The 17,143-nt window shown below is 40.7% G+C and overlaps 1 protein-coding gene across 8 annotated transcripts, besides 6 other annotated features; it reads right to left on the bottom strand.

The window, feature by feature from the left end:
• On the bottom strand, positions 3,820-13,577 carry COX20 (cytochrome c oxidase assembly factor COX20). 8 transcript variants are annotated; one of them, NM_001312871.1, is made up of 5 exons: positions 13,550-13,577; positions 13,127-13,407; positions 6,825-6,939; positions 6,625-6,688; positions 3,820-5,842 (listed from the first exon to the last, which is right to left on the bottom strand). In NM_001312871.1, the coding sequence occupies exons 2-5, from the start codon at positions 13,166-13,168 to the stop codon at positions 5,707-5,709; spliced, it is 357 nt and encodes a 118-aa protein (NP_001299800.1). In that variant the 5' UTR covers positions 13,169-13,407; positions 13,550-13,577; the 3' UTR covers positions 3,820-5,706. The 8 variants fall into 8 exon arrangements, 5 of the variants coding, with proteins under 5 accessions (NP_001299800.1, NP_001299801.1, NP_001299803.1 ...); NM_001312872.1 differs by lacking the exon at positions 13,550-13,577 and adding an exon at positions 12,363-12,398; NR_132420.1 differs by lacking the exon at positions 13,550-13,577 and having other exon boundaries at positions 13,147-13,407.
• Positions 12,872-13,161: a silencer, noted in NCBI's record as "silent region_2019". NCBI's record gives its function as "represses an Ori minimal core promoter by ATAC-STARR-seq in GM12878 lymphoblastoid cells {active_cell/tissue: GM12878}" and the evidence as "EXISTENCE:reporter gene assay evidence [ECO:0000049][PMID:35858748]".
• Positions 13,202-13,251: a silencer, noted in NCBI's record as "silent region_2018". NCBI's record gives its function as "represses an Ori minimal core promoter by ATAC-STARR-seq in GM12878 lymphoblastoid cells {active_cell/tissue: GM12878}" and the evidence as "EXISTENCE:reporter gene assay evidence [ECO:0000049][PMID:35858748]".
• Positions 13,332-13,451: an enhancer, noted in NCBI's record as "active region_2846". NCBI's record gives its function as "activates an Ori minimal core promoter by ATAC-STARR-seq in GM12878 lymphoblastoid cells {active_cell/tissue: GM12878}" and the evidence as "EXISTENCE:reporter gene assay evidence [ECO:0000049][PMID:35858748]".
• Positions 13,492-13,831: a silencer, noted in NCBI's record as "silent region_2017". NCBI's record gives its function as "represses an Ori minimal core promoter by ATAC-STARR-seq in GM12878 lymphoblastoid cells {active_cell/tissue: GM12878}" and the evidence as "EXISTENCE:reporter gene assay evidence [ECO:0000049][PMID:35858748]".
• Positions 13,992-14,051: an enhancer, noted in NCBI's record as "active region_2845". NCBI's record gives its function as "activates an Ori minimal core promoter by ATAC-STARR-seq in GM12878 lymphoblastoid cells {active_cell/tissue: GM12878}" and the evidence as "EXISTENCE:reporter gene assay evidence [ECO:0000049][PMID:35858748]".
• Positions 14,555-15,314: an enhancer, noted in NCBI's record as "H3K27ac-H3K4me1 hESC enhancer chr1:244996871-244997630 (GRCh37/hg19 assembly coordinates)". NCBI's record gives its function as "activates a minimal SCP1, AML or CMV promoter by ChIP-STARR-seq in primed H9 embryonic stem cells {active_cell/tissue: H9 hESC(primed)}" and the evidence as "EXISTENCE:reporter gene assay evidence [ECO:0000049][PMID:30033119]".

Genomic DNA, 17,143 nt, shown 5'->3' with positions numbered 1-17,143 from the left:
TTTACATTTCATCTCCTTTTCCTTAGTCTGTCCATGTGAATGTGCTGTGTGGAAGAGTTAAAGGGCCCAACTAAATGTTCCAGTGATTCCAATAGGTATTCCAAATTAATTGCTGCTTGTACATTTAATAGTTATGTTAGGCTTCCAGAATCACTTTAAATAGGACTCTTTTTAAAAGATGGGGGAAGAGAGTAATTGGTAATCAGATGGACAGAGTCTCTGTAACAGAAAAAAAAGGGTGTTTTCTCTTGCATATCTGAGGTGAAGTGTGTATTCTGTGTGCTCTTAGCAATTGGCAGTCCTCTTGCTTAGGTTTACAGGTGTATGTGAAAATAGACCTGAGTCTTTTCAAAGTTAGATCATTTTTCTGATTTCATCTTTTAACTTTTGGCAATACATTTGTTTTGATATCCACCCTACTTGGTAGAGTGTAAGTACTTCCTTACAATGTTCTAATGTAAAACAGTGCATAGGAGACCTTTCTGTCCTTGGTTGCCCAAAATCTTTTTCATTTCTACTAAATTCAGAAATACATATTTTTACTAGCTTATGAAAATTTGGAAAATAGCTTGACATCCTTTTGGATAATGAAGTGATTAGTTCATATATTGAAGTATATAAAATCAACTAGGAAGTAAATTCAAGACTGAAGGAATGGGAGAGCTTGTGTGAGTTTTGGTTGTATCAGTCCAGAATATGTAATTTTCCATTTCCCTGAAAAAGACTTCAGAGGAAATTTATTTTCCCCACTATACGCTCCAGAATGTCTTTCGGTGAAATGAGAGGGCTTGGGCTCTTCTGATTCTAGACGTAGCTATCAGAGTTTGCTTAATGAAATATGGGTCTACTCACAAATAAAGCAATTTAATGGTTTCGAAAGAGTAGGCAACTTGTGGTTTCATTACCATTTCTGTTCATTTGAGAAAAATCATAAAATTACAGAAAAGGAAACATTCATTTCAAAAATAAGCTTTGAATTTAGATGGTAAGGCATATATGTTTTATTTCACATGACTTCAGGGTAGAAGTCAAATGAAGAAACATTTCTATGGAAACTTACCCTTTAAGAAACCAGTATATGCAAAGAATGATTGATACCCCCTGAGGGTGTGCCATATAATAGGTGACTGATAACATACAGGATTTAATTCTTAGAATAATTAAGAACAGATATCACCCATTACATTGACCTACATTTTTCTAAAGTGAACAATAGAAACCTCTCTCAGAATTAGTATTTGCCTATTAATGTAATCAGTGTAGCCTTCTCAACATAAAAATGTCCTTATTCTAGAACATGGAAGCGTACGGCAAATGCAACGGTTGAAAGCACTGAAAAATATTTGTAAAACATCTGTAGTGCTCACATTATGAACTTTAAATGTAATACTTTGAAAACCATCTTCATAATTTTTTTGTTCTAACAGCTTCCTTTTTAAGAAAACATTTTAAAACATTTTAAAATGGAACTTAATGTGCAAAATAAGTTGTGTAAAATACCAGTATTTGGGTGGTGGAGGATATTGGTATATTATATTGACCTGGGTTGATGACTACTGGACTATTTTAAGATACCTACTTCCAAAACTTATTTTATTCTAGAGGACCACTAAAAATCAGAATTACAGCAATCATTTTAATTTTTCTACTTTCCTTGTTAAGGTCTTCTGCTTACCCAAAGAATAGTGTATATCTTAACATGACTTTTAAAGGGGTATCTTGATCCCCATCACAGATTTTTATCTATGAATAGAAGGATTGAAACCCTATTTGATCCCTAGCTCTTTGCTGAAAAGTGCATAAACAGGAATCCTGAATTTATTATATAGACCTCCTCGCATTATATAATCGAAGCAAAGGGAAACCAGCGATGGAGTAGAGGTACGTAGACTAAAGAGATGCTTGCAAATGATGGTACCTAGGGATAGTCACATTTTCTTGTTGCCAAACTCAGACAATATAATCACAAGTCCAGAGAAGAGCTAGTTAATTTTAAATTCCCCGAGGTCCTTTTACTGAGATGGAAAAGCACAAACAGTCAAGGAAAACCAAAGAGGGAGGGGTGAGGGAAGGGGAAAGTGCATAAAGCACTTAAAGATTTTTTAAAAGTAGGTATGATAGATAAGCCACAAGAAGTTTTTAAGACTACTAATAACCATAATTCTATTTTAATCAGCTATTTAGCTGGTACCTACTGCTATATCACCTAGTGTGACATTTCGGAATTAATGGAACAATGAAGGAAGCTGTACACTGGAGGTTCCAGGTGGTCATGGAAGGTAGGTTACTCTTAAAGTTTGAAATTGTAAAGTGTGAAAGTCTGGATAGAGGGGAAGGGGAACCTGGACTATTTTTATTTTTTTTTGAGACGAGTCTGGCTCTGTCGCCAAGGCTGGAGTGTAGTGACGTGATCTTGGCTCACTGCAACCTCCACCTCTCGGGTTCAAGCAATTCTCCTGCTTCAGCCTCCTGAGTAGCTGGGATTACAGTTGCACACCACCATGCCAGGCTAATTTTTGTATTTTTTTTTTTTTAGTACAGGCGGGGTTTCACCATGGTTGGCCAGGCTGGTCTCGAACTTCTAACCGTGTGATCTGCCTGCCTTGGCCTCCCAAAGTGCTGGGATTACAGGCGTGAGCCACCGCACCTGGCCAGGAACCTGGACTGTTTCTTTTTGTCTAGCATTTATTGACTATCTTGTGCCAGATACTTGGATGAGAATGTAAAGATAAAAATGGCCAAGGTTTTTGCCAATGAGAAACTTAGGCTGTATGTGATTGTACCAAATACTGGTGACCAAGAAAAGCACCAACTATTATAAGACACAAAATAGTGAGAACTTAAATGAAAAGGTGATTGTAATTCCCAGAAGCTAGTGAGCAAAAGAATGGAAAGTTACAGAGAGGAGGTAAAAAAGGCATTCCAAATGAAATGAAAAAGTTGGGAGTGGCAGCATGGATATGGTATAAAGGTCATAGTGCACTGGGCATGGTGGCTCACGCCTGTAATCCCAGCACTTTGGGAGGCCGAGGCAGGCGGATCACCTGAGGTCAGGAGTTCGAGACCAGCCTGGCCAACATGGTGAAACCCTCTCTACTAAAAATACAAAAATTAGCCAGACGTGGTGGCACGCACCTGCAATCCCAGCTACTTGGGGGGCTGAGGCAGGAGAATCGCTTGAACCTGGGAGGTGGAGGTTACAGTGAGCCGAGATCACGCCATTGTACTCCAGCCTGGGCGACGAGAGTGAAACTCCATCTCAAGAGAGAAAAAAAAAAGGTCATAGTGCATTGAAGGTTTGGCAAAAAACTAAATAGTTTGGACGTGAAGTTGGATGGTAGGGTAGACATTGATAGGAGAGACTTTCGTTCTACCAGTCTCTCCTTATTGAGGGTGGGTGTTACAGACTTTGGTAATTTATTAATACACTTGTAAAATCTTAATAGCATAAGAATAAAAATTATTAGTGATCATGTAAATACATGAAACATTTAAAAAATAATCCAACCAAATATGTTACAACTTTGTTTTTATCCAGGTTTCCAGTTTATGCAAACTTCTGTGAAAATGAGCTTTGTTATTGGTGAAGACATTGGAAATTTTACCAGCCAAAACAGAGTTTCTCTCTTATTCAGGGTAAGATGTAATTGCAGTGTGCTAGCGCTGGAAGGGACCTGTTTTATATGTTATGTATGTTACACGTCAGCCCTCCATGTCCTCCAGTTCTGCATCCTTGGATTCAACCAACTGTGGGTTGAAAATACTGGAGGTAAAAAGACAAAAAATAACAATGAAGAACAACAACAAAAATACACAGTATAATAATTACATTTACATAGCATTTATTTTGTATTAGACATTATAAGTAATCTAGAGATGATTTAAAGTATATGGGAGAATGTATGTAGATTATATGGAAATATGAGGGTATTTTATTTAAAGGGACTTGGGCCTGTGGATACCAAGGAATAACTAAGGTAAAACTGAGCATAAGTGGCCTGTCCATATTTTGTTAAATATCAGATTATTGATTAGTGATCATCAACATTTTCCCGCATTCATGCAGTGCGGCCTCTGAAAACATGGTTGAACATCCTATGGAATTTTTTTTTTTTTTTGAGATGGAGTCTCACTCTGTCACCTAGGCTAGAGTGCAATGGCGCGATCTTGGCTTACTGCAACCTCCGCCTGCCCCACCTCGGGTTCAAGTGATTCTCCTGCCTCAGCCTCCTGAGTACCTGGGACTACAGGCATGCACCACCACGCCCGGCTAATTTTTGTATTTTTAGACGAGACAGGGTTTCACCCTGTTGGCCAGGCTGGTCTCAAACTCCTAACCTCAGGTGATCCAACTGCCTCGGCCTCCCAAAGTGCTGGGATTACAGGTATGAGCCACCGTGCCCAGCAGAATTTTTTAACTATTTGGTTACGACTAATTTGGATAATGTAGTGCATGCAGCTTTGATTTGTGCCACTAAGAGTGGGCAAACTGTCTTCCTTTTTGTGAATCAGTAAAAATTTTCCCTCAACATGTGTTTGACAGTTGTCATTCACTGCTAAGTTAAGGCATTTGGTAAACCACACAGCCTCTGCATCCTTCCTAGCGACAGCCACAAGAAAAGGTGGGCATGGGAGGGAAAATGCTCTTGTGAATTGAACTGGAGGCAAGCTCCACTTTTCTTTAGAAAAAGATGTAGATCAAAATAACTAATATTTTCTTCCTTGCTCGATTTCTGTGCCTTCCATGGTACATCAAAATAATAGGACCAGTAATGGCCACAATCCTGTTGACTGCTGTTACCTTCGCCCCAATATTTCTTTAAGCATTTCTTAAGCATCTAGCTTGTGTTTTGTTATATTTAACAGATTTTCTTAAAGTATTGTATGAATTAAAACCAGAAATAACTTCATTTTCCTAGAAAGGGATAATTTCTCCCGGAGAATAAATCCTGAGGATTTAGTTAGATGCTGTGGGTATTGTATTTTAAATAATATTTTAATGGGAGCAGCTGATTGACTTTCAAATGGATTGTTTACATTAATAGTAATTCTGCAGTTGTTTTACTATTGCATCAGTCTGCCAGACAAGTTCCATGTGCATATTTTAATTCAGAACTAATTATACTTAAAAATTTAAACCCTGCATACTTCCCCAAAAATGTTTAGGGCAGTTAAAAACAACTCTTTTGGAAGATGACTCGCATTTTAAGAAATGAGAGAACACTGTCAAATGATGAATGCATTTAAAAAATAATTTGCAAAGTGATAAAAGCCCTTAGTTTTAAATCTTACAATGACATTAGCTCTTACAAGAACTCAGTAAGTATTTGCTGTTTTTTAATGGGATAGTAATAAGGTTGAGGTTTTTGTTAAGGGACGTTTACTTATCATCAAACTCTATACTTACTACTACAAGGAAACTCCAAGTACATTAAACACTATGTTTTATAATTCTTTGCCACACTGCCAATAAATTCTGTTCACATTTTAAGGATGACAAGTCCACTATATGTAACACGTAAGAATGCTATCCTGGCAGTAGACACAGGGCCAGAATAAACTGGCAAGTTTTCATTCCACACAAGTGTGGGAAAAAAATGACTACAACTTAAACTTTATTTACTTGATTGAGAGCTTATTGCACATGAAATGTTTTATGTGGTTGATCTTAACTTCGTTTACATTGACTTCTATGCTCAAGATTGTTCAATTGCTGCTGCTGCCGTTGTGTTTTCTTTCAGGATCGAGGTGGGTACCTTCATATAATATCTTCTTTTTAATTTCTTCTCTGGCAATTCTTTCCTGGATTCTTTGCTTTGCATAATTATACCTACAATGAAACCTTAGAAGAAAAGAATATGAATAAATTGTTAATATAAAGTCCTACAGAAATTAATTTATGAAATTTCTCTAAATCACACAAAACTTAAATACAGATGACTACTACCCTGAGACTGAAAAATATGTTCTAATTTATAGTGCTATTTTTGGGCAGTTTTGGTGTCAGAATACCTATCAACACATTCTTTTTTTATTAGGAAAAAAAGGATGTCTACATAACAATTTGTAAAGTGATAAAATCCATTAGTTTTTAAGTCTTCTGATAGCATTGGCTATTATAAGAAACAAGTATTTGCTCTCGTTTTTAACGGGATAATAATGCTATGTCTACATAAAATGATTTCTACCACCTTAAATAGCTCACTGTAGAAATTCATGTATAAATGGAACCATATAGTACATACATATCATACTCTTAGGTCTGGCAAATATTTGAGGTTCATCCATATTTTATATTCACTCATCAGTAGTTGTAAACACATTCTTAAAGTAGCATTTTCAGATATGAATAAGCAGGGATGAAATAAGTATTAGGGTAAGGGAAATGGTTGAGGCTTTCCTAAGTGAAGTGTAAAAACCACAGCTTTCTTTTTAATGGGATGTCTAATATGCATTTATCTGTTCAAGCATTTTAAGATTTCCATGAAAATGTCCTGAAAAATCAAGATTCTTCATTGAGGGTGAGGATCTCCCAATGGGAGACTGCTCTGAAAAGAGCATGTGCTTTTTGAATTAGATAACCTACTATAATCATGGATGTTCTTGAATACTTAGCAAACATACCAGCATCCCAAAGTCACCAAGATAAACCCTCCTACTCCAACATCACATGATCTTCTAATTCTACCTGTAAAAATAAGCATAACAATTAATTAGAATATAATTACGTTATATACATTACTCCACCTAGAAAAAAAAATAGTTCATTATGTAGAGAAATGCTTTTTTTAGTACATAGAGAAATAAAAAATACAGATACTCACTAGTGAACAAAAAATGTCCAAAGCCAGCCACAACAGATCCTAATGAACCATACAATATTGAATGCCGGGCGCAGGGAGTATTTTCAACATCTAAAAATCCTAGGAGCTTAAGGGACTAGAATGAAAAAAAAGAACCTAGATTGAGTAAGAAAGTATTTCATTTTGGGGTGCTTTGGCAAAAATGACAATACACCATTTCTTTTCTTGTAGTTGAGGGTTTAAACTAGAGTATGTGCCACGTGACAACCTAAATCAGCTTGCGTTGTCTTTGTCCACCTTTGGTATGCAGTCTGAATCTTTAAATCCGAAAACCTTACAAATTGGACCGGAAAACCCTTAAGCAGTAGGGTAACTTGGAGCTGTATCTTAATTTGCTAATCAACTGACTTGGAAATAGGATAATTCATTTTATGAGCTCTTTAAATGAGTTTATTTGGGAATATGCCTATCATTGGAATTGAAAGCAGCATAGCTTGCTTCAGTAACTCCAATAATTTGGGAAGCAGAAATGGAAAAAGTAATTTGAGTCATGTTTGCTTATGTAGTGCCGTTTAAAATTCCCCTAGTAATTACCTTTCATATTTTATTAACTAGGTTAACATCAACTGTGGTTGTAAGAGTAAATGTTTCACCTTAAGATAAACATGGGCAATATATTAAACTCTAGTCTGTTTTCTTGCCTGTGAAGTGAGGCTGCACTTGATTATATTTGATTCTTTGTTCGTAATACATGGGAACGACAGCTAAGTGTGGTGAAAAACGCGGGGATCCAAAGAGCTGGATTTTTATCTCAGATCTGCCGCTAACTTTTGTATCCTATAGGCTACTTTTATTTCTATGGTCTCAATCTATAACATGAATGGGTTGGGTTAAATGACTGAAGTTCCTTCAAGTGCTAAAATTCTTTTTCTACAGTCTTCATTGGATTTATGTATTTCTTATTCCTAATATGTTTAACTGGGATGTCTGTCACTCTAGGGCGGCAAGACAGACATTTAAAAGTAACAGTCACACTGCTGAACTGGCATTTCTGTTAACACAAAAGTTTAGAAAACTCACGGTAACTGTTACTTGATTTAAGTGTATATAAAATTTTCAGTAAGGCTGCTTTTAAAAGGAACCACTGTCCATTTAAAGGTTTCATAGTTATCTTCAATGGGTTAGTATTGTTTGGGGCAGGACATTAAACTAGAAGGGATTCTATAGGATGAGGTGATACCTAGAAGGTAATATATTGTAAGGCAAAAGAGATTAGAAGAAATGGGGAAAGGATAGTAAAAGGCAAGTCAGATTAAAGGTTGAAACATGAAGATATTCTCAATTGTATTTCTGCCTATGTTTGCTTTTTTGGCTCAAGCATCTGTTGGAAGAGACAAAATGTGACTTGGTTCATAATAAAGCAAGAATTATTTACTCTCGGATCATTCTATTCCATTTTTTCCCTCTGTCTGGCCCCGTTCCCACCCGCATGCCTAACATAGGATTGCTTCAAAGCTTTGCAGTACAGTTCTTCACATTACCAAGAGGTTGGGGGATTTCATTTAGCAAGACGACTTTTTCCTATCAGCTTGAGAGCCCAGGGGACATATGATCATGTGGGTAGTGTTATGCAGGTGAGGAATGCTGGACTTAGCGCTCCAGTCCAGGACTACCTCTAAACTAGACTATTTCCCCAAGGATGGGATGCTGGGGCCAGAGGATTAGTACCAGTTTGATCTAGTCTTAGGTGCAAAGATGCAAGTGTGAGACCAGCTTGTACCACAGGATAGAATTAAGTATTTTCTAGTCCCACTCTCAGATTCTGATTTACAATCACTGGAATCTATGTTTAGAAAACTCTAGGTGGTTTTTTCTGATGACTGTCATATTGGGGAAACACTGCTTTAGGAAATTTTATTTTTTTAAATAAAAGTAAATTTGCAAACAATAGGAAAATAGCTCAGCTGACTTTAAAGGCAAATATCTAAATAGAAGCTACACATCTTATTTAAAATAGTGCCTTCTGAAACAAACCCAATCCCCAACAAAACTCTGGTCTAAAATAATAGTGGTTGATCTCATAATTAAGAGCTGCTGGTGGGGGAGGTAGGTATTAGTGCCAGGCTCTCTACATGTTTTTTAATTCTCTAGCCTTTGTGTGAGATTACCTCTGAAACAGGCTCGGGGACTTAAGAGGCTAATAATAAGTGTTGGCAGGAGTGGAGGCAGAAGTCAGTTTCACCACAAAGCCTATGACATTTTCATTGTGCCAAACCACATCATTAAGAAGTAACCAAGGCTGGAGGGTTTGGTGGGGAGCTTTCCAGTTGTCACATATCTAAGGAGTAATAAGATTCAGTACATAAATCCCTGCAATTTCTATCAAAACAGGAAGAATATGCAACGACTTGAGCCTGTATACCTTTACAGTTAAGTACACTGAACTGTAAAATGCTCAGAAGTGGAGATGAATAAAGGATCCCGGGCATAACTCCCTTTGAAGTATTCTATTTATATACGGAAATATTCTGTTCATAATATACATGCCTTTAACATTTCTCTTCTATTCCTTAAGTAGCCTGCATACTTAAGATTTAACTCTTTGCCACTAACAAACGGGAACCCTTAAAAATAAATTAAGGAAATGTCAGACATTTTTTAAGCTTAGATTTAGAAAAGCAGCTTTACCAGCTCACCCTGATCAATCTAAGGAAAGCTCAAGAGATTTCCAAGCCAGAATGTCAATAATGTATAGAAATAGATCTGATCAAATTAGAGACAGTTGATTTTCCACCACTAAATCTGCTTCAGTGCCCGTATTTCTTTCCTCTGGTTGCAAAGGATGAATTGGCCCTATTCCTATCTAATGCTAGTCTTCCCACTTGGGCACTTGATTCCCCTCTTGCATACTCAAGGGCTTGGCTTCTATAGCTACCCCTTTCATTTGCATCGTTAGTTTTTTCACTTGCAATAATTTACTATCAGCCCTCTTGGCCAGGTGCAGTGGCTCACCCGTCATCCCAGCACTTTGGGAGGCCAAAGTGGGTGGATCACTTGAGGTCGGAAGTTCGAGACCAGCCTGGCCAACATGGCAAAACCCTGTCTCTACTAAAAGTACAAAAATTAGCCAGGAATGGTAGCACATGCCTGTAATCCCAGCTACTCGGGAGGCTGAGGCAGAATCGCTTGAGCCCAGGAGGCGGAGGTTGCAGTGAGCCAAGATGGCACCACTGCACTCCAGCCTGGGCAACAGAGCAAGAAGACTCCATCTCAAAAAAAAAACCCAAAAATCCTCTATACACCCCTCTCCTCTCATCAGCCACCTAAACCACCATCCTTTTGGGGCAAAACTTCTGAGTGTAGGTGTGCTTTTCTACTTAAAACCTCCCATTCTCCCTTTAACTCACTTGAGTGAGGCATCTATCCACTGAACTTCACTTGACACCAGTCAAGACCTCTAAAAGACATCCACTGCAGTCTAAATCCGCATCTCAGCATATGTGGCACAAATTATCATTTGTTTTTGAAACTTTTTTACTTTTACTTGGCTTCAAATACGTCTCCTGGTTTTCTATTTCATTGACATTTTTGTTGCTGTTCCCTCCTCTACAGACCTGATTCTGAAGTGCCACTCTTAACTCCTTTGGAATCTAGTCTCTTCCTAGGTATCCCAAGGCTTTCAATTAAATGCCATTATATGATGACTCCAGATTTCTAAATCAAACCCTAATCTCTCCCAAGCTTCAGCCTCATTCATCTGCTTAATGAATGACACTTTTATGTATAAAAAGCACCTTGAACCTCGTATTTGCAAAATATATTTTCACCTCCAAACCTTCCTCTTAATGGCACACTACTCAACCAATTTTCAGACCCAAAAACTAAGAGTCATCCTTGATTCCTTCATCAAATCCACATCAAATATATTAGCAAGTCTGGAAGGATCCACATTCTAAATACATCCTGAGCCAGACCACTGCCCACCAACTTCATTGCTAATACAGGTTGAGCATCCCAAATCTGAAACTGATACATCAAAAGACAATTTTTTTTTTGAATTGGGAAGCTCAACCTGTCCTATCAAATTACCATCTATCAACAGTACCTTTCAGATCTTGATTCTACTCATAAAAATGTGTATCAGATGACTATAATAAGTCCTCTGTAGCCTCCGATTATGCTCAGAATCCTTACCATTGCTCCAAAGGCCCTACATGATCCCATGCTCTTTCATATCCTACTCTTGTCCACTAGTCCAGGTACAGTGGCCTTGCCATTCTAACAAGCCGAGATGGTTATTACCGAACGAACACATGCTGCCTTTCTCCTGGATCTTTGCATGACTGGCTCAGTAGAAGTCTTGCTTATTGATTCCTCCAGTAGAATGTCAGCTCCTTAAAGGGATTTTTCCTGTCTTGATCAGTCTAGTACCTCGTTCAGTGTCTAATACTCAGTAGGTACTCTAAATATTTTTTGAATGGGTGAATTAAGAATTTACCTGAATGTGAATTTACCTGTATGTACCAAATTTCACATTTTAAAGTTTCTTAAAGGACAAGAATGTGGCAGAGGACAGTTTTTAGGGGCTAGTTCTATCAAGGTATGCCAGCTTGGTAACTCCCATTTTTACTTTAGGTTTGCTAATTCTTATAATAAAATAATCCTCCCTGGGTTGTGCTGGAATGATCACTGACAAATTCTTTTAAAAAAAATAACCGCAGGCTTCCTTTCTGACAGCACCTTGGGCTGTTAATTCATCATAGCTTCTATTAATTTAATTAGCTTTTTGATGGGCTCTGATAGGTACTACTGTTTCATGAGCAATTTTTGTTTTTTTGGCCTCCCACCTCTGACTGTGCTCGGTTTGAGGCTTATAACTATCTTCATTTCAACAACTACAGTATTGTTTTGCTACTTACTGATGGGCCAGTTAAATAGGTCAATGTTGATCCTCTTTTAAGTTTTTTTTTTTTAATTTCCAATGGATTAAACCACCTTTATGACCTTTAAAAACAGCAGTTATCTCCTACCAAAAGTCCCATTCAGGATTCCAGTGTTTATCACAAAACTGAATCTAGGATTTACTGTGTGTATGCAAAGATCTTTTTTTTTTTTTAAACACTAAGCTTATTCCAGATGGGCAGTGTATGGGACAGTAAAAACAGATAAGGCACCAGTAGTACGTAAACTGACAACCTGTTGGATATTAAGTATGAAAACAATTTATACAATATTTGTTAATATTAACCATATGATCTGATGTCATGGCCAAATTTGGATGGAAGCCCACCAGAGAAGCAAGCAAGAGCAAGAAGTGAGCAGAATTTCCAAGCTGGGAGAATATCTTAAGTATATATTAGGAGCCATTTAGCACACAGTGGGTCTTCTATAAATATTTGCTCGTGATTAGCCAATGTTACGATCTCCCTAGTTTATATTAAACTTTTTTCCTCTTGCATTATTCTTTTCTGAATACCTGTTCTGCCCTGAGGATATAAATTAGGTTCCCTGCTCTTAATAAGGAGCCCAGGAAAAGAGGAAAACAAGATCATTTATTACCTTCCAATATGATAAATGTAACGACGTACAAGATGCCTGGGAAGATGGGGAAAGTACGTAAGTCAGCTTTGGTGAAACACAGGAGCCCTTCCAGGGAGAGCGCTTGGTTTAGCTTTACTATACCAAGAATTTGGGTTTTATCCTTAAAGAGATAGGATGGGCTGCTACGACTGGATGTTAGGCAGAGGAATGAAAACTGTCCAGTTTACAGGCTGGAAAGGGCCAGCGGACAATAGTGGAAGGTGGATTCAGGAGAGTATGGAGACAGGGACACCAGCTAGGGAGGCTACTGGTGATGGGGAAGAAATCTTAACCCTTCATCTCATCGTAGTACAATCAAGTCATCCCTCAGCAATTACTCCTATGTTAAATGTGATGAATACAACGTGTTAAAGACAAGGCACCTGTCCTCAACGGAGCTTTAATCTCTACTATTAGCCTTTACTAACAAATTACAGTGCAGTGCCCTTAGCAGCAAAATTTTCTCGCCAAAGATTCAGTATTGTTAGCTTATTTCATAATGACCTGTAGTAAGTCATTAGTACTACTGGTCCCCTCCTCCCCCTAGTTTTGGTCAATTTTGTCCCGGCCACTTAGATTAAAATGTTGGAGGCTTGGGATAAGGACTAGGAACAGTTAAAATAGTTTCAAGCCCATGGGTGGCAGAGAAGCCAGTGACACGTGCTCCGGGCCTAGGAGCTCCGCGGAGAACGTCCTTACCCACCGCCCACCCGCGGCGCGCGCCCCGCCGACCCCCAGGTTACCTTCCTCTCCTCGGGCTCACCGGGCTCCGGCGGGGCGGCCATGAGGACTACTCCGCGACTCCACCCGCCCTGCACCGCCGGGGTCGCGGAAGCAGAAGCCCGGCTGGCCGCGCCCCTCCCCGTCCCGCCCCCACGCGCCGCCGCCTCCCGCCCTGTTCCGACGCGCCGGCCGCCATTTTAGGGAATGTTCCTAACGCTCCGCAGTGGCCGCACGGGGCCGGGCTGTCATGTCCTTTGTTCCGTCGAACGGGTCACACTTTCTTCCAAGCTCGGCACACAGCCTGCAGGGGCGGGAGAGCGGAAGGAGATGGGTTCGGAAAACAAACCGACTCCTAGATTCCTGGCGAGGTGGGGGCGTAACCGAGCCAGACAGCCCCGCTTCCCGCGCCAGCCCCCTGCTCCGCCCCAACCGCCATTTCTAACCGTCTCCGGCGCGCGTGCTCACACGCACGAGCCTCGGGCGCGCGCCGAGGGGCGGGGCCGCTGCTTTGTCCTGCGGGGTGGGCCCCACCGCGGGGGTCGGCCCGGCCCCAGCCCCCAGCCCGCCCCAGCCCACCGACCCGGAAGGCGCTCCGCGCTGGCTCGGCGGCCCTCGTCCCCTAAGTGTCCTTTGTCCTTCCGGCCACGGGACGAGCCCTTGGTGCCGGGGCAGCCCCACTCTGCACCAGCAGCCATTTAGTCCCCCGCGCCTGCCTTGCGCAAACGGGGCTCCCACGCCCACCCCACTTCCTCCCTTTTATAGTTTCATTACTAAGTGGCTTTAACATAGAACCGCGCAGTTCGCCTAAAGGAGACTGGGGACAAAATGGAGGGAGCAGCTCGCTAATGAACATGCGTCAGCACGTTGGTGTCCGCGGAGAGGGCGCGCGTGTGGCGAAGTCTTCCGGCGTCCCCGAAGGAAAAATGCCTCTGCAACGTGCATTTTTGATGTGAAGTCGTGTTCCACGTTTCACTCCTCCCTAAGACTGCGACATAACGTGAAACAAAATACTGCATATTGTCGAGCTCAATGGAGAACGCGTGCATGCAGGGTCGAGCCCATTTTTCAGCCATCAAAATAATACAATGCAATTTTTTCTAGTATTTATAATTTTTCCCCTTTAACTTTATGCCTCCTTTATGTACTTCTACATTTCACGTTTAGGTTATATGTAACCTAAGGGCACTCCTTAGGAAACTGGACTTGTAGAATATGTCATTGTGCAAAGTCATGCTGCTTCGAATTATGCTGCGCGCTGGCACACAGCAAGCGCTCAGTGTTAACGATGTCGAATTCATATTAAGTACTGTTCATTGGGCGTTTTCTTACTCCGTAAGGACCTTACTTGCATGCCCATTTGATACCTTTCTACAATCCCAGTAAAATACACAGTTAAGGTTGTGTATTTATGTGTCACATTTTTTTTTTTGAGGTTTTTTTTTGCGGGGGCGGGGGGGGTTTTTTTGTTTTTGTTTTTGAAATTGTAGTTAGAAACTACATACTGTGCCGGGCGCGGAGGCTCACGCCTGTAATCCCAACACTTTGGGGGCTGAGGCGGGCGGATCACGAGGTCAGGAGTTCGGGACCAGCCTGGTCAACTTGGTGAAACCTCGCCTCTACTAAAAATACAAAAATTAGCCTGGCGTGGTGGGGGGCGCCTGTAATCCCAGCTACTCGGCAGCCTGAGGAAGGAGAATAGCTTGAAAACGGAAGGCGGAGGTTGCAGGGAGCCGAGATCGTGCCACTGTACTCCAGCCTGGGAGAAAGAGCGAAACTCCGTCTGGGCGGGGGGAGAAACTACATACTGCTCTACTGTTTGCTAGGGAAAAGAAAAAAAGTCACCCTACTGGTGATATCCTGCCAATTCTGGATTCTCTGCTGAAATTATAATGCTAACTATGCTTTGAACTCCGGATCTGAAAGGCCGTGTTGAAGGTAGTAATATTCCATGAAGGAGGGGGAAATCCTTTTGAAGTCATTGTTGATTATGTTGTAAAAGGAAAACTGGAAAAGTACCAGCTAAAACACCACCGAGTCATCCTATTTTATTTTTATTATGACTTTGAAAATTTGCTAGAGTAGACATTGTTGGGGTCTATTTCATTTGTCTTTGAAAAGTATTTTCATAAGGATGATTTATTTTTTATTTTTTATTTTTTTTGAGACAGAGTCTCACTTTGTCGCTCAGGCTGGAGTGCAGTGGCGCAATCTCAGCTCACTGCAACCTCTGCCTCCCGGGTTCAAGTGATTCTCCTGCCTCAGCTTCCTGAGTAGCAGCTGGGATTACAGGCGCCTGCCACCACACCCGGCTAATTTTTGTATTTTTAGTAGAGAAAGGGTTTCACTATGTTGGCCAGGCTGGCCTCAAACTCCTGACCTCAGGTGATACGCCTGCCTCTGGTTTCCAGAGTGCTGGGATTACAGGCGTGAGCCACTGCGCCTGGCCTATTTTAAAATTTTTATTTTCACAAAATTGCATATAATATTTCCATTTTTAATTGTTTAACAGTTATAGAAAGGAAAGTAAAAATCTCAGTTCTTTCTCTCCTTTTTAAGGTAAATATAACTAACAGTTTGATGTCTCTCTTTTCAAACTCTTCTTTATCCTTCTTAAAAACAATTATTTGTAGAGACGGGAGGTGGGGGATGGTGTGTCACTTTGTTGCCCAGGCTGGTCTCAAACTCCTGGACTAAAGTGATCCTCCTGTCTCACCCTCCCAAAGTGCTGGGATTACAGACATGAGCTATGGCACCCGGCTTTTTCTTAATTAAATATTATTACACGAGGCCGGGCACGGTGGCTCATGCCGGTAATCCTAGCACTTTGGGAGGCCGAGGTGGGTGGATCAGCTGAGGTCAGGAGTTCAAGACCAGCCTGGCCAGCATGGCAAAACCCTGTCTCTACTAAAAATACAAAAATTAGCTGGGCATGGTGGCACACACCTGTAATCCCATCTTGGGAGGCTGAGGCAGGAGAATCGCTTGAACCCAAGAGGTGGAGGTTGTGGTGAGCCGAGATCGTGCCATTGCACTCCAGCCTGGGCAGCAAGAGCGAAACTTCGTCTCAAAAACAAAAAAAAATTATCCCACGAATACCTATATTTTGTCTTAATTAAAACAACACTGGAATATATGGGGTAAATAATGAAAGGCTCTATGTCACACTTGCCTCCACGCTTATGTATACATGTATCTGTATGTGATACACGCTGAAATGACACTGTACCACATCATTTGCATTCAGTAATTTACTTTTTGCCATATATCTGGGAACTTGTTTGATTTATGTACTACAGATTTACTCATTCATTTTAATGACTGCTTAGTAATCCTTTCTTTTCTTTCTGATTGACATTTCTTTTTTTTTTTTTTTTTTTTTTTTTGAGACAGCGTCTCGCTCTGTCGCCCAGGCTGGAGTGCAGTGGCGTGATCTCGGCTCACTGCAGCCTCCGCCTCCCGGGTTCAAGCGATTCTCCTGCCTCAGCCTCCTGAGTAGCTGGGACTACAGGCGCCCGCCACCACGCCCAGCTAATTTTTATATTTTTAATGGAGACGGCGTTTCACCATGTTGGCCAGGAAGGTCTCGATCTCTTGACCTCGTGAGCCGCCCACCTCGGCCTCCCAAACTGCTGGGATTACAGGCGTGAGCCACCGCGCCCGGCCTCTGATTGACATTTCTGAAAGTTTCCATTTTTTACTAATCCCCAAAAATGCTTCAATCAGCATCTTTATGCATACATATATATCTGTGTACATGTTCAAGTATTTCTGTAGGGTAAATATCTGGAAGTGGAATAACTGATTTAAAGGGGTATACACAATTTAAAATGTAATACATACTGCTAATTTGTCCTCCAAAAATACTATCAATCTACATTCCCCACCAACTGTATGGGAGAGTTACCTGTTTCCTCACCTTTTCAACACTGCATATGTTCACATTTTTTAATTTGGGGGAGGGTGGGCGTGATGGCTCAGGCCTGCGATCCCCTTACAATTTGAGAGGCCAAAGCAAGAGGATCTCTTCAGGCCAGGAG

This window comes from Homo sapiens, chromosome 1 (assembly GCF_000001405.40).
Source record: "Homo sapiens chromosome 1, GRCh38.p14 Primary Assembly".
Lineage (NCBI taxonomy): Eukaryota > Metazoa > Chordata > Mammalia > Primates > Hominidae > Homo > Homo sapiens.
This window is presented reverse-complemented; position numbering and strand designations above follow the sequence as displayed.

Coding starts and splice junctions, on each gene's coding strand:
- COX20 (NM_001312872.1), bottom strand. CDS start 13,168: ATGGCCGCCCCGCCGGAGCCCGGTGAGCCCGAGGAGAGGAAG. Junction 6,940..12,362: donor TACATTTATCATATTGGAAG/GTAATAAATGAT, acceptor TTTTCATTCTAG/TCCCTTAAGCTCCTAGGATT. Junction 6,689..6,824: donor TGGACATTTTTTGTTCACTA/GTGAGTATCTGT, acceptor TTATTTTTACAG/GTAGAATTAGAAGATCATGT.